Source organism: Homo sapiens, chromosome 1 (genome assembly GCF_000001405.40).
Source record: "Homo sapiens chromosome 1, GRCh38.p14 Primary Assembly".
Lineage (NCBI taxonomy): Eukaryota > Metazoa > Chordata > Mammalia > Primates > Hominidae > Homo > Homo sapiens.
The window spans coordinates 240,422,752-240,439,340 of NC_000001.11; the positions used below are offsets into that span (position 1 = coordinate 240,422,752).

Here is a 16,589-nt window from a genome sequence, read left to right on the forward strand (position 1 = left end):
AATAAATATAAGACAAATATACGCTGACTATAATGGTCTGATTCCTAATTTTAGGAACTTTTCTTAGTTACTTGATCTTTGGGATCAGCATGGGTCTCAGCTTACATTGTCCCTCAAGGCCAGTCAGTACCTGAAAATGTGTCACTTAGATTTTCAAACTTCTCTTCCACCTTTTGTATGAACTAATACTTGTTCTTGGGTTGAATTACCTTTTTTTCTAAGAGCAGTTGGCTGCTCTGAGGTCACAATTACCCTGAAGGTGTAAGTACCACAGTTCTTCATTTCAAGATAAAAGAAATGCCAGTTTATCCTCTTACCATTCTGAATTCCTCTGATTTTTTCATTGCCTGCAACAAACTGAGTGTTGGCATAAAAATATCTTTGTGCTTTTTAGAAGACATGGAGGATCCCTCAAAGGCTTTTTTAATAATAAGTGAAAGGGGATTTATTCTTCCTTATTGGAGTAATAAAATTTGTTACACTTTATGTAAGTTCCTATGGAGGGTGGGGGAAGGAGGTGGAAATGAAGACGATGATTTAGGATTCCAAAAATTAAAGTTACTTGTGGAAGGCTTTAACTGAAAATAGATCTTCCTCTTGAGATTTTAGTTTGTTCTGAAGAATAATATTACAAAATCCAACACTGCACAATAAAAAACGCAAAAGCAATGGAAGATTTATGATGATGTTCCTTTGCAGTTCGTTTAAACTGGTATGCTCTCTTGGCCTCGTCTGTCATACTGAGAGGCTTTATGATCTTGGTTCTGCCTATATGGATTAAATTAAGTTATACATGTGCAATTCTCATTCTGCCTGTAAAGTCTCATTTGGTACTCAGCCTTTTTTGCTGTACTCCCAAAGGACAATGATATTGGGAGAAGAAAGTAGAGGAAAACATCACAGAAGAACCAGAGAGAAAGGCAGAGACCCCCAGGGTGTATTTAGATTGGGCCAGAACTGAATTGCTGACTCGCCAAAAGGCCAGTCCAATCATAGATGTGTGCATAAGAAAAGACCTCACGAGTCCCTTCATGTCTACCCTTCAACATAAACATCACAGTGTCTCAAAATAGCCAGAACTGCTGCATTGACAGTTGAGATAGGGAGGGAGGACATTGGTCCCAAGGCTGGTTGGCATTCACAATAGAGGGAGAGGAAATTAATAAATGATCTGTTCCTGTCTACACAAAGCTTGGACACCCCAACAGAACATAAAAACAACTCAGATCTGAATCGTGATGTTAGTTTTACTGATAACTACAGGTATGTTTGTGGTGGGAGGAAAGGGAGGTTGAATTAAACAAATTTATTTCTTTCAGCATGTCTCTTTGCTTAACTGTTGATTCTGATACGTCTGTTAAACAGGTGGCAGGAAGCTCTGTGTCTGTGTATACATACATAGGTGTACATGAGCAACATGTCATGAAATATGAAATAGAGTCATATGAAAGAGTCAAAACTAAAGGATATAATTTCTGATTGTCCATCTTTTATGTGATTCCAGGGAAAAAGATTATATTTTTATTTCCATATAAATAAAATGAGAAATTCTCTTGGCAGTAGCTACTGCAGACTTTCTTCTGAGCCAAGTGAGATAGACTCTATAGATAAGTAAGGAGAAATGGGTAAGGGTGATCAAGTCACTGTGGCACTGGCTTGCTGTACTCTTGGAAACCAGACATATTGACATCAGTTTTAATTTATATAAATGCCATGAGTTATCTCATAATTATGTGGGGATATGGGAATGAGGGAAAGGAATTGCTTTCCTTAACTTCTCTGTATGAAGAATAGATTCCTTGTCTTATCACACTCCAAATACACCAGGATGGCTAAAGAAGGCTCTTTTATTTCTGGCTGCCACACTGATAACAGAACCTTCACTCGTAGACCTTACTGTGGACCTGGCATCCCCATAAGGATGCTCACAGGTGTCTGATTGGGTAGGAAGTACTGTCATTCTTTTATAAATGGGGAACAAAGCTCAAAAAAGTTATGTCGACAAAGCTCCACCACTCTGGGTTAGAGACAGAACTAAATCTTAGTTATCCATATTCAAAGTCCACAGAAGACATGGCTTGAGGTTAATAGACTGCTTCTAATACGTAGTCAAAAAATTTGCCTCCAGAAATGTCTAGGCCCCTTGTTCAGGAGACAGTCATTCTTTAAGTAAACATTCTTCAAACAACTCCTGTGTGCCAAGCATTGTTCAGGTGCCTGAGAATAAAGCCATGAACATAAATGCTAAAAATTCCTTAAAGAGGTTAAATCCTAGTGGAGGGAGAGCCATAGTTATCACACATAGAAAATATCTTGTGTTTCTGATGGCGGTCAGTGCTGTAGAGAAAAGGAAGGAATATTCAGGGGTGGCTGTTGTGGAAGGTTGGGCCAAGTGTTCAGCTTTTACTTTGGCTTCTCATGAGGATCTCACTAAGCAAGGATTTGAATGAGGTGAGAGAGAGAGAGAGAGAGAGAGAGAGAGAGCCGTGAGACACTTGGGTGAAGAGCATTCCAGGCAGATGAAAAACAAGTATGGCATCAAAACGTCATGCTCTGTGAGGCCAGAATGACAGAAGCGAAAACTCGGTAGGTAAAGATGGGATATTACTGCTCTAGTTGGAATGGGAAGCCTCTCTGGCATCAGCTAGCCAAAAGTAAAGTAAAAACACTTATGATTCTGAAAGTCAGCTCATCTTTAGCTTACTCCCCCCACCCCAGTTGCTTTTGTGGATCCATTCTTTTTTTCTATACTCAGAATCATTTCCGGAGCTACCTGCCACACATCAAAAGGTGCTCTCTTAGGTTGTTTAGATATGCTTCTGGTTGTCGTAGAATAAACATGAGACAGTGCTTATCATTTTCTGAACAGGATCATGAAAGGGTTTACCCTGATCAGGAAAGGGTTTCTCCTTCTTGAAGCATATATTTGGTAAGCAGAGAAACTGTTGAGAAGGAGATCCAAGATTGAGAGCATATGGTAATGTCTGCCAGCACGTGAACCTGAGGGAGAACGTGGTGAATGGCTTTGTTCTGTACCTTGACTCTTTGATTTGTTGACCCATTAGGAATGTTTTTCAAGAAAGTCATCAACCAGAGCTTACACTTTTCTTTGTCTTCACTCTGCCATGAGTAGTGCCTGGCATATAGTTACTACCTGCTCCCTGATGAATAAGGGCAAAGCTGTAGTGCCCTCTTCTAAGACTACAACAGAGTAAACACCACTAAAATTACTGGACTTTAATTCAAGATTTTAAATAATACTTGAACGAGAGTAAATCCTGCTCATAGATGGGAAATAACTATTGGTAATACCACAGTATGCTATTTAAATAGTGTTTCATTTGCAGAGAATATGCTTCTCCAAAGAGATCATAACTTGTGGCAAGAAAATGCTATTTTAGGATAATTACTAGCACCTCTTTTGGTTGTAATAAAAACCAAATTTTGAGTCATTCTTTATGTGCACAATTCCCAGACAGAGAATTGCCTTAAAAACAGATGAGAAGTTGAAAAGAATATAAAATAGTTCTCGGTTTGTGGTATGGCCTCTTTTCAAGTAAAAAAAATCAAAGCTGTCTATTTTTATTATCTGTGGAACATAAGTCATCGTCAAAAACAATATCCAGTAGAAGTCTTTAAAGCAATATTCTACCCTCTTAAAAATATTTCTAGAATGCCATTTTAAAAGATGTGTATAGCTATTACTTTGTGGTACCAATGTTGTGTGTATATGCACTTGTGATTTTTAAAAATATTACTCTATTATGGAAAAGTTAAAATATGTGCAAAGGTGAACAGAATAGTACAGTGACCCTCCATTTTATCCATCACTCAACTTCAACAACTATCAATTTGTAGTCAATTTGGTTTCCTCTATAACCCTACCCGCTTGCCTCCTCCCATATTGTTTTTGAAGGAAATCCCCAACAGATATAATTTCATCCATATATATTTTAGTATGTTTCTCTAAAAGATACCCTTTTATTTTATTTATTTATTTTTAAGATGCAGTCTTGCTCTGTCACCCAGGATGGAGTACAATGGCATGATCTTGGCTCACTGCATCCTCCGCCTCCCGGGTTCAAGCAATTCTCCTCCTGCCTCAGCCTCCCAGGTAGCTGGGATTACAGGTGCGCACCACCATGCCCGGCTAATTTTTATATTTTTAGTAGAGATGGGGTTTCACTATCTTGGCCAGGCTGGTCTTGAACTCCTGACCTCTGGTGATCCACCCGCCTTGGCCTCCCGAAGTGCTTGGGATCGCAAGCGTGAGCTACCGTGCCAGGCCCAAGATACCCTTGTTAAAAGAAAGCATATTCACCACCAGTTTCACTCCTAAAAAATGATTAGGCCCTAATATCACCAAATACCAAGTCATTGTTCAAAAATTCAATTAGTTCATGTATGTTACAACTGATTTTATATATATATATATATATATGGTTTTTTTTTTGTTTTTGTTTTTGTTTTTTTGAGACAGAGTCTCGCCTGTCTCCCAGGCTGGAGTGCAGTAGTGCTATCTCGGCTCACTGCAAGCTCCGCCTCCTGGGTTCACGCCATTCTCCTGCCTCAGCCTCCTGAGTAGCTTGGACTACAGGCGCCCGCCACCGCGCCCAGCTAATTTTTTGTGTTTTTAGTAGAGACGGGGTTTCACCGTGTTAGCCAGGATGGTCTCCATCTCCTGACCTTGTGATCTGCCCGCCTCGGCCTCCCAAAGTGCTGGGATTACAGGCATGAGCCACCGCACCTGGCCACAACTGATTTTATTTTGGTTACAGTTTGTTTTGAGCAGGATATAGAGAAACGCCAACCATTATAAGTAGATGATATCTCTTACATTTTCACAATAGGTGCCCCTATGACACTTTTTTCTACTTAAAATTGATTCGTTGAAGAAATGAGATCATTTGTTCTATAGAGTTTCTCTACAGTATGGATTTTCCTGATTCTATCTCAGTGTTGTAGTTTCACACGATCCTCTGTCTTGTATTTCTTTTAGATAGGTAGTTAGCTCTAGATACTCGATCAGCTTCAGGTTTGAATATTTTGGCAAAATTACTTTATAGGTGGTATGGTGTGTTCTACCAAGAGGAAGCCTGACATATTCAGTTGTCCATTTTTGTGATGTCACCAGCCTTTGGGAATCAGTGTCTATATGTTTTAACTCCTTATAATTTGTAAAATGGTGACTTTTTATTTTGTTCTCAGTTATTCCGTGAAATACTTTTTCTTTAAAGAAAAACTTTTCCTTATTTGGCATAGAGTTATTCAATTGTGTGTTTCTTATACAGGAAATGCAGGATTCTTTCCTTTAGTTTACCAATTTTCAAAATAATGAGCGGTGTCGCTAGCACCTTCCACCAAAAATGAAGAAATCTTCTTTTTTCCTTAAGCGTTGTAATGAACTCATAGAATTAAACATATTTGATGTGTTTTACTCTTTTGCAATTATTATTGTTACTGATCTCCAAAACATTTCGCCTTTTTTTTTTTTTAAATACAGAGTTTCACTCTGTTGCCCAGGCTAGAGAGTACAATGGTAAGATCATGGCTTACTGCAACCTTAACCCCCTGGGCTCAAGCAATCCTCCCACCCCACCCTCCCAAGTAGCTGGGCAGGTGCACACCACCACACCTGGCAAATTTTGTATTTTGTGTAGAGATGAGGTCTTGCTATGTTGCTCAGGCTGGTCTCAAACTCCTGGCTTGAAGTGATCCTCTTGCCTTGGCATCCTTAAGTGTTGCAACTGCAGACATGAGCCACTGCACCTGGCTAAAATGTTCCATCTTTAAGTTCACCTTGAGTCCTTTTGACATGACCTTCTCTGCTATCTTCTTGGATATGACACTCCAGGTTCATTTTGAACAGTTTTTTTCCTCGAGACCTGGATTGAGCCATTTCTCCAGGCAGCTCTGGATCTTTAATACATTGTGGAATGGCTAAATTGAGCTAGTTAACATATGCATTACCTTACATACTTACCAGCTTTTGTAGTGAGAACACTTTAAATCTACTGTATTAATTTACAAGAATACAACATATTGTTAACTATTATTACTGTGTTGTATAATAGAGCTCTTGAACTTATCTTTCCTGTCAAACTAACATTTTGAATCATTTTTGTTATGATGTTTCTGTTCCATTGCCTTGATTGTCTTCAGTACAGGAGGCTTTTATAATACACATATAGGAATTTCTTGTCTTCCATACTTACAACTTTCTCTTAAATCTTTTTTTAAAATTTCTCTTTGATTTAAAAACTTTTCCTTATTTTATTTCTGTTTTCATTAAGACATTAGCTGTTGTACTTATTAACTCTTGTGTTACTTCTAATTCAGTTTTCATGTGTGAGATGATCATTTTAAATTTCAGATTCTTTACTAAGTTCTTGTACCTTATGTCTGAGTTTTTAAAATTTTGAGTTTTGTTTTCATAGCCTTTATCATTTTATTAATATCTTTTAGCCTGTTTTAAAACACTAGGCAACAGTCTTTATCTGTTCAGTAGACATGTCGTCTTCCTGGCATGTTTGTTTGATAGACATGTCTTTCTCTCATTGGTCTGCAGAGCCATTATTTTGCTCCTGTTTTCTTTCAATAAGTTTGTTTAGGAACCATTTGCAATCTCCTGTATTCCGTCTTTTCATCTCCTTATTGTTCTTTCTTTCCCACTTCTCTTTCTCTCTCTCTCTGTTTTTCTTCCTCCTTTCTTGGTTAGTTGAGGCGTAATTTGTAAACATTAAAAATGCACAAATCTTAAGTGTTCCTTTCAGTGGTTTCTTTTAAACCAAAATATTAAAACAGTTGTGTTTCCCAATGTATTTACTTCACACTTCTCTGAAGAGGTGATCATTGTTCTGATTAGTCAACATAGATTAATTTTGTGTATGCATGGACTTTTATAAGTGGAATCATATGGCGTGTATAATTTTGGCTCTGCTTTTGTCACTTATTTTTTTAGAGGAACTTCATATTGATATATCAGCAACTTCTTCCTTTTTATTGTTAAGTAGCATTTCATCATATTTATAGATCACAGTGTATCCATTCCCCTGTTCATGGACATTTGGGTTTCCAATTTGGGGTTATTATTAGCAGGGCTGCTGTGAACATTCCTTTTTTGTTTTTTTTTGTTTTTTTTTTGTTTTTTTTGAGGCAGAGTCTCGCTCTGCCGCCCAGGCTGGAGTGCAGTGGTGCGATCTCAGCTCACTGCAAGCTCTGCCTCCCGGGTCCACGCCATTCTCCTGCCTCAGCCTCCCAAGTAGCTGGGACTACAGGCGCCCACCACCGTGCCCTGCTAACGTTTTGTGTTTTTTAGTAGAGTTGGGATTCCACCATGTTAGTCAGGATGGTCTGGATCTCCTGACCTCATGATCCGCCCGCCTCGGCCTCCCAAAGTGCTGGGATTACAGGCGTGAGCCACTGCACCCGGCCTGAACATTCTTGTATGAGTCTGTTTGTATTCATGTTTCATTTCCCTTGGAATTAATAGGCGAGGGTAGGTTTTCTGAGTCATGTTATACATATATAAATTTATACATATATGTATAAATGTATAAGGAATTGTCAAACACTTCTCCAAAGTGGTTTGCCATTTTACACTCTCAAAAGCACTGTGTGAAAATTTTAATTGTTCTACATTCTCCCCAACATGTGAGACTTTATCAAGTCTTTTTGATTTAAGCCAACTCTTATGAGTATGAAATGGCATAATGGTATATTTAAATGAAAGGAATTTTTACTTTGCTAAAGTCTGATTTATCAACTTTTTTTCTCTTTTGATTAGTCCTTTTTGTGTCTTATGTAATAAATTTTGTTTGGCCCAAAGATGTAAAGACTTTTTTAATGTTTTCTTTTAGAAGCCTTATGTTTCTGTCTTCTACATCTAAATACTTATTTTTTTTTATTGGAGTAAGGATTTTTTTTCCAAACAGATACCCCATTGTTCTAGCACCATTTGATTAAAAAAAAAAAAAAAAAACTTTCCTACCCCCGCATTGAATTGGCTCGCCACCTTTTGTAAAAATTCAGATGACCTTGTATGTGCAAATCTCCTTCCAGGTCCTTATACCAATACCATACTCTATTAATGTAGCTTTATAATAACTCTTGAAATCAGACAATGTAAGTCCTTCACCTATGTTCTTTTTTTTAAAAATGTATTTCTTTTTTGCTATTTCATATGCTTTACATTTTTACATAAATTTTAGAATCAGCATATCAGTCCCTTTAAAAAAAAAAAAAACTCTTGATTGGGATTGCCTTGAATCCATAGAACAATTTGGGGCAAATGGATGTTAACATTACTGAATCTTTCAGCCCAAGAATATATTATACCTTTACAGTTATTTCAGCTTTCTTTAAATTCTCTCAACAATGTTTGTAGTTTTCACACTTTTATTTGATTTATTGTTAGATAGTTGATGTTTTATAATAGTAATACAAATTATATTGCTTTAAAACATGTCTTTCCCCAGTGGTCTTTTCCAGGGTGTATAAAAATACAATTGATTTTTAAATATCTACCTTGTATCTTATGGGATCAATATTAAGTTCACTTATTTAGTTCTGAGTAAATTCACTTATTGGTTCTAACAGGTTTTGTTATGTTTGTAAACTCCATAGTGTTTTCTGGGTATACAACCATGTTTTATATATATATATATATATATACATATATATACACACATATATATGTTTTATTTCTTCCTTTCCAATTTTTTCCTCTATTGACTGGCTAGAGATTTCAGTACAATGTTGAATAGAATTGGGAAGAGCAGACATCCTTGTTTTATTTCTGAACTAAAAAGAAAATATCAAATACCATTGCGTATGTTAACTGTAGGTTTTTCATAGATAGTATTTATCAAATTGTGTAAGTTTACTTCTAGGATTAGCCTGCAAAGAGTTTTTCCTTTTTGTAATAATAAACTGGTGTTGATTTTTTTCCATGTTTTTTATACTTACTAAAATTATATTTATTTTTCTTTATTCTATAAATGTGGCAAATTACACTGATTGCTTTCACTGTTAACACCAAATTGTATTATGGGGGTAAACCCTAATTTGTTATGTATTATCCACTTTAGAAATTGCTGCATTTGATTTGATGATGTTTTATTAAGGTTTTTTTTTTTGCTTATGCTCATGAGGGATATTTGTCTATACATTTATTTTTTTTCTTTCATAATATCTTTTTTAGTTTTCCATATCAACATCAGGGTAAAGCTGGCTTCATAAAATGAGTTGGGAAGTATACCCTCTTCTATTTTCTGGATGAGTTAGTGTAAGATTGGCTTTATTTCTTCATCAAATGTTTGTTAATTCACTTGTGAAACAAATAGGGTCAGAATTATTTGGAGTGTGGAGATAAATTTGATTACCAGTTTATAAAAAATAATTTTCTATTTATGGAAAATAATTGAATTGTCTTAGATTTAGGGGTACTTATATTTTCTGTTTCTTTTGTCAGTTTTAGAAAGTTCTGTTGTTTAAGTAATTTGCTTATTTCACTTAAGGTGTCAAATCTACAGGCATAAAATTGTTTACAACATCATCACATTATCATTTTAAGCCAGTATGATCTATAAAGATGACTGCTTTCATCCCTAGTATTGATATTTTGTATTTTCTCTCTTTTTTTCTTCATCAGTCTGGGTAGGGGTTTATCAATTTTATTAAGCTTTTCAATAAACCAACTTCTGACTGAGTTGATTTTCTGTAAGATTTAGTTTTTATTTCTTTGTTTTGTGTTCTTTTTTATTATTTCTATTCTTCTACTAAGTTGGGTTTAATTTGCTCCTTTACAGTTTCTTGAGTTTGATGTCTAAATAACTGATTTTACACATTTCTTTTTAATACATTCATTTTAAAGTTCAATTTCTCTCTAAGTACTTGCTTTATTTGTATCCCGTATATTTTGATATTTTTTGTTTTTATTTTTATTTAGTTTGGAATGTTTTTTCATTTCTTTTAGGATTTCTTTTTGATCCATGGGTTATTTATCACAGGTTTGCTTAATTGCCAAATTGGATGTTACCTAGATATTATTTTTGTTCCTTCATAATTTAATACCACTGTGCTCAGGGAACTTACTCTGTATAATTTCAGTTTGAAATTTACTGAGACTTGTTTTATGACTCAGCATATGGTCTATGTTGAATATTTCATGTTCTCGTGTATATTCTACCATTGGTCATAATGTTCTACAGATGCCAACTGGGTCAGTTTTTGATAATAATATTCAACTCTTCTGTGTCGTTAGTGATATTTTAATCTAGTTCTCTTGACTACTGAGAAAGAGGTGTTAAAATATCCAATTCGATGATGATTTTTCCTCTTTTTCCTTTTAGTCCTGCAATTTTTGCTTCATGAATTTTGAAACTGTTTCATTAGATGCGTATCTTTATGATTGTTATGTCTTCTTGATAATGTGGATGCTTTTATAATTATGAAATAACACCCTGGTTATGTTCTTTGTCTTGGAAGTCTACTCAGATAATAAAACCAGGCCAACTTTGCTATGGTTAGTGTTTTTACGTAGCTTTTTCCACTGCAGTATTTTCATCTTGCTTATTTTTATTTGGAATTAATTTTACTGAAATGTTAGGAGAAATAGATGCGCGAGGAAAACATTTCTAACTTTAGTGCTCTAGAGTTTCCTCTTTTGTTTCTTTTGCACAATGATAAGTGCATTTTACTTGCATTTTCTATTTTCTTTGTTCTTGAGTTTTTCCTGCACAATTTGAATTCCACTCTCAGCATTTTCTCTCAACGCAGAGCTTAGCCCTAAAAGGGAGTTTTCTCTTGGGTCAGTACTAAGAGTTCATACAGCTCAGACTGCTTCCAGTCCTTTCAGAAGTTACTATACATCCTTTCTTCTGTTCCATGCATTCAATTGTGTAAAACATCTTCCAGTTTCAGCACAGTTCTCAGGTTAGCCCTGACCCTTTTCAGGAATACCTTTTTGTAATTTGAGGGTTCTTCCTGCTTTTAGGAGAGATTTCCTGTTGCTTCCCTCTGCTTCCTCCTATACAGATGATGTTACCAGGTGGGTTTTATGTCGTGAGGAGTTTGTCCTTAGCTGTAATTTTGAGTTTCGTTGGGGACGTTAGATACCTAGGTCTTTGTAGGTCTGTTAGCTTTGATTTTTAATATTAGTTGCTCTTTCCATTTTTGTGTGGGATTCAGAGAAATTCCGAAATGGTCCTGCTTCTGTAGCTATCATTTTAGAGCTCTGCAGGTACCTCGATTCCATTGCAGAGAAGTATATTTGTACTGTCTAATGTTTGTAACAAAAGACGTGTGGTGTTGATCTTTTCAAAAAAGGACCATTTAAGAATCCAGACCACAGGGATGTTGATTGTTCAGTGACATCTGGAGTTATCTGTTATTATAATCATGCATTTTTTTAAATAACTGAACATCTTTTAACTACTACCTCTTCATGTGCCAGGGTCATTTCGAGGGAGTCTCACAGAAAAGCCTGTGTAGTAAGGAAGGTCCTAGGTAAGATGTCTGTCTTTTTGTAGTGAATCCTGTATTGGTATATGGTGGCTGGGATCCTCCAGATTTCAGATTTAAAAGAAGGAAATAATTCAGAAAAGATGGAATTTACCCCTCCCACCCACCACCCAAGTGGGTCTCTTTCGTGTTATGCAAGTTTGAATTCACTGAGGGCTACCTAATGCCGGACAGGATTACATAACCAAAAATGCCTCTGGCATAAAAGATACCTTGATAATCTGTAGAAATTATTGTCCTGTTATTTGCTTGTTTTTTTTTGTTTTGTTTTTTGTTTTTTGTTTTTTTTTGTTTTTTGTTTTTTTGAGATGGAGTCTCGCTCTGTCACCCAGGCTGGAGTGCAGTGACGCTATCTCAGCTCACTGCAAGCTCCGCCTCCCGGGTTCATGCCATTCTCCTGCCTCAGCCTCCCAAGTAACTGGGATTACAGGCACCCACAACCACACCCTGCTAATTTTTTTTTTTTTTTTTGTATTTTTAGTAGAGACGGGGTTTCACCATGTTAGCCAGGATGGTCTCGATCTCCTGACCTCGTGATCCGCTGCCTCAGCCTCCCAAAATGCTGGGATTACAGGCTGCTTGTTTTTTTTTTTAAAGTATTTACACTTTCTTTCAGGGAGTACTAGTGTACAGCTGAGACAGCACTCGTGATCCTCAGATAATTCTTCTGGACACTCTACGTCACATACTCAAGTACACTTATTCTTTCACCATGGCCACATCCAAAGAAATAGCTACCAGCGAAAGTTTCTTTTTATTGTGACTCATGCCAATAATAAGGTTCACATTTGACTTTAAATCAATTGTTGGATACTCATTTGGCTCACAGGTTCATAAAGTTTTATGCAAAGAACATTTTTATTGAAAAATTTTTGCCTCTTATAAAGTGAATACATATATTACTACTTCAGTTTATAACTTGCAAGGTACTTTTATTTAATCTTCATGACAACCTTGAAAAGCAACCACTTACAGATGAAAAAAACTGAGGCTCAGAAGTTAAATTAACTGCCTAAATCTATGTGCTTTATATAACAGAGCCAAGAAGAAATTATTGAATAATCAGAATAATTATCACTAGTATCAGAAGCTTTTGTGCCTACTGGTAACTAAAAAAAAAAAAATCTTCAGAGAACATGATCACATGAGAATCTGTTAATAAATCAGCCCCAATTGAATTAGTTATAATTTAGAGAATACTTTTAGGAAATATATATTTATATTTATTTAATATGCAATATAAAATATATAGCATATGTAATATAACATATGTAATATAAAATACATTTGTTTTGTGTTGACACATTCAACAGACACTTTGGCAATTCATTTTTACCCATTGGACTTCAGAACAACTGTTGATGATAATCTCTGTTTTACAGTAGAAAAGCTGAGGCACAATGATGTTAAATGGTTTGCTCATATAGCTGGTCATAGAGGCAGGATTCAATATTCCATGTCTTCTCATTCTAAATCTTACATTCTTTGCTTTTGATACCATACTACCTCGTGATAAAACTTTCAAAATGTTGCAAGATAACTGACTGGGTGAACTAGCTATTGCGACTTACATATGGCTACCCAAACAGGTGGGCTTGCTCTGAAATAATCAGTTTTATGAAGTTCAAAGACCAGAGCAATGATGAAAATGAATAAATGGATAGAAAAGACTTGAGACCTAACTTCAGCCTAACAGGTCATACATTCTTTTTAGGTATATAAGGAAAATGACCAGTTTTCCGAGAAGGCATGTATGTGTTTATGTTATCAGTTTTAATAAAATATGACCCAGATATGTCTTAGACTCTGTGTGTTCTCTGCCATCTACTCTCCGGGCAGTTCTGATGCCATCAACACATTCCGCCAGGTGCATTCTAACGTCATTACCATAGCCCGTGGCAGCCAGATCCTCACATAGCGTATGCACTTCACAGCCTGACTCTTTCTCAGGTTTAATTGACTGTACTCTGTCATTTTTCTAGTAGGCTAACTAAGGAGAAAAACATAATACCTGAGATCCACACATTTGATTAAATCAGTCTTGTCGTCTCTGCCTAGAGCTTAAAAAGCTGATATCCTGGGAATCTTGCTGCTCAGAGACAGCCATAGGCAAGTTTAAACACAGAGCAGATTAGTCATACATTGGTAACCCACAGTCAAGAGTAGCTGTGAATGTTTGTTTTTACGTGTGAATGCTCTGACTCTTTTATCTCCTGAGCAAACTCACCTTAAAGATCTCAGTATTTTAAAAAATTAGCCGGGCATGGTGGCAGGCACCTGTAATCCCAGCTATTTGGGAGGCTGAGGCAGGAGAATCGCTTGTACCCGGGAAGTGGAGGTTGCAGTGAGCTGAGACCATGCTGTTGCACTCTAGCCTGGGTGACAGTGTGAGACTCCGTCTCAAAAAAAAAAAAAACTCAATATTTTAATGCTCAAACTGTTTTTCATAATAGACATTTCAAATCAGCTATGGCAAGCTGAATACACACAGAGATATGTGTAAGTGTATATGTTAGGGTATGTATGTTTATATATGTATATATATACTTTTGTCACTGAGCAAAATCAAGTTGCCTTTGATATTTCTACTTCAGAGTAGATCAAACTTGAGTTTTTGTGGAGCAGAAATAGTGCTGGCCCCAGGCCAGAGAAAGAAAGAAAAGACAAGCTTATTTGCATGCCACTCCTTTGCAGCATCTCTGACCTTTCTCTAACCAGTTCTCTTGCCACGCGTTATCGACTGTATTGGTCAGGATTCTTCTCAGGGCATCACTCATGGGACTGGAAGACTTTTGTGAAGTCAGAAACCTACCATTTACTAGTGGTATGTTCTTTGTCAAATAACCACTTTGAAACTCTTCTGAGCTCCATATAGCTGTAATATGAAGCAGCCTCTGAGTGGCACCTTCTGAAAACTGGCCCTGAGCAATCTACCGTCAAAGTCCTGGCTGCCATATTGGTCTCTACTCAATGATAGCACTGTAGTCTCTGATAGGAGACTTTGTCAGCATCTCTTGCTTTTTTTTTTTTTTTTTTTGAGACGGAGTCTGGCTCTGTTGCCCCGGCTGGAGTGCAGTGGTGCAATCTCGGCTCACTGCAAGCTGTGCCTCCTGGGTTCATGCCATTCTCCTGCCTCTCAGCCTCCCAAGTAGCTGGGACTACAGGTGCCCACCACCATGCCCGGCTAATTTTTTTTTCTTTGTAATTTTAGTAGAGACAGGGTTTCACCGTGTTAGCCAGGATGGTCTCGATCTCCTGACCTCGTGATCCACCCACCTTGGCCTCCCAAAGTGCTGGGATTACAGGCGTGAGCCACCGCGCCGGGCTGGGACTCTTGCTTTTATTCCTTCTAACAATGTAGGAAGGCAAATAGTGTATAAGCAATATAATATAGATATGGACTACATACTAGTTTGGGGACACATGGTTAATATTTCATTTGTTTAGGGTTTAGAAAGAAAGTATAGGCCCGCCACTTTCAATATGTCTCATCTTGATGACAAGTTCATTTCTGGAGTATGTCCAACACAGAGTGATTAATTTTGAAATAGAATTGGTCAAGGGGTAGTTATTAGTATGTGGAGGATTCTCGTCAGTTGCTGCTGTCTGTATCCAAAACTCTTAACCTTAAACCATAAGAGAGCTACTGTTGGTGCTTGAAGAGCTTGAGTCCTCTTGGTAATAATAATTGTGCATGAATAAAATCAGCATTTGGATAGAGAAAGAATATCCCATATTGGAAAGTAATCATGGCTTTTATGCTTTTGTGTGTGTATGATTTGACAGCTTTTTGGAGACCACGGCATATTTCTTCATGAAACCAAAACTTGGAGAGAAGGAGGTGTCCCCAAATGCTTTCTTCAGTATCTGGCATGAATTCAGCTCTGACTTTAAAGACTTCTGGAAGAAAGAGAACAAACTTCTTCTACAAGAGAGGTAGGTATTTTCATTTGCACAATGGCATTTTAAAACTGGTGTTTTATTAGGTGTGGCACCACTGGGTTGCCAATTTTCGTAGCCTGAAGAAAAAATTAGATGGCCCTCAACCCGGGGTAGCAAGTTGAAGAGGATGCTGACATTTGGCAAAATTTGGAGTTTTAATAAGAAGAGTCAGCACAGAAGCTGGGATGCTACAGAGAGTAACTAGGGTGCTGGCTTGCCAGGACCACTGTCGGGTAAATCAACTTCTATCATGAGGAAACCACGTAAAAGTGACCACGTAAGAAGGCTGGAACAACCCTGCTGCAATGGCAGACCCACGCACTTCAAAGAACAGATAGCAAAGGCTAGAAGGGTAAAAGGAATAGTTTGCTCAATTCATGGGATATTGTCAGTTTACCACTCATATCAAAAGTTCATCCAGATATCACCAAGAAACACAGATGTCAAAATTTTTTAAAAGACCTTTCAAGATTCTTGTAGAATTATGTGATACCTTCTAAAATAAATCTTTTCAGGAAGGGAAATGTCCCCTCTTCAGTATATGGAATAAAGTCTCTGTGATTATGAAATTCCATAGAGGCATATTACATATTAAGTAATGAAGAAGGCTAGCCCTCCCAGGGCGCCATCCCCAAATAGCTGCGTCTAGTGGGAAACTAAAGGGAAACGTAATCTATACTATAAAGCAAGCCATAATGCCAAACTAACTAGTATACTTCCTAACATCACTAACAGTAACTTTGCTTTAGATCTTTAGAAAACTTACATCCTGTGAGCCAGGATCAGTGGCTCACACCTGTAATCCCAGCACTTTGAGAGGCCAAGGCAGGCAGATCACTTGAGGTCAGGAGTTCAAGACCAGCCTGGCAAACTTGGCAAAACCCTGTCTGTACTAAAAGTACAAAAATTAGCCGGGCATTGTGGTGGGCACCTGTAATCCCAGCTACTTGCGAGACTGAGGCAGGAGAATCGCTTGAACCTGGGAGGCGGAGGTTGCAGTGAGCCGAGATCATGCCACTGAACTTCAGCCTGGACAACAGAGCAAGGCTGTCTCAAAAAAAAAAAAGAAAGAAAGAAAGAAAGAAAGAGTTACATCCTGAGAAACTTTGTTCACAAAATTCCAC

At 37.2% G+C, this 16,589-nt stretch overlaps 1 protein-coding gene across 5 annotated transcripts in view; it reads left to right on the plus strand.

Moving 5' to 3' along the window:
- FMN2 (formin 2) overlaps window positions 1-16,589 on the plus strand; it is a 383,305-nt gene that overhangs the window by 330,869 nt on the left and 35,847 nt on the right. For all 5 annotated transcript variants that reach the window (NM_001305424.2, NM_020066.5, NM_001348094.2 and 2 more), the window contains one exon: window positions 15,310-15,459. In NM_001305424.2, coding sequence (NP_001292353.1) covers window positions 15,310-15,459 — 150 coding nt within the window. The remainder of the gene's footprint in view (window positions 1-15,309; window positions 15,460-16,589) is intronic.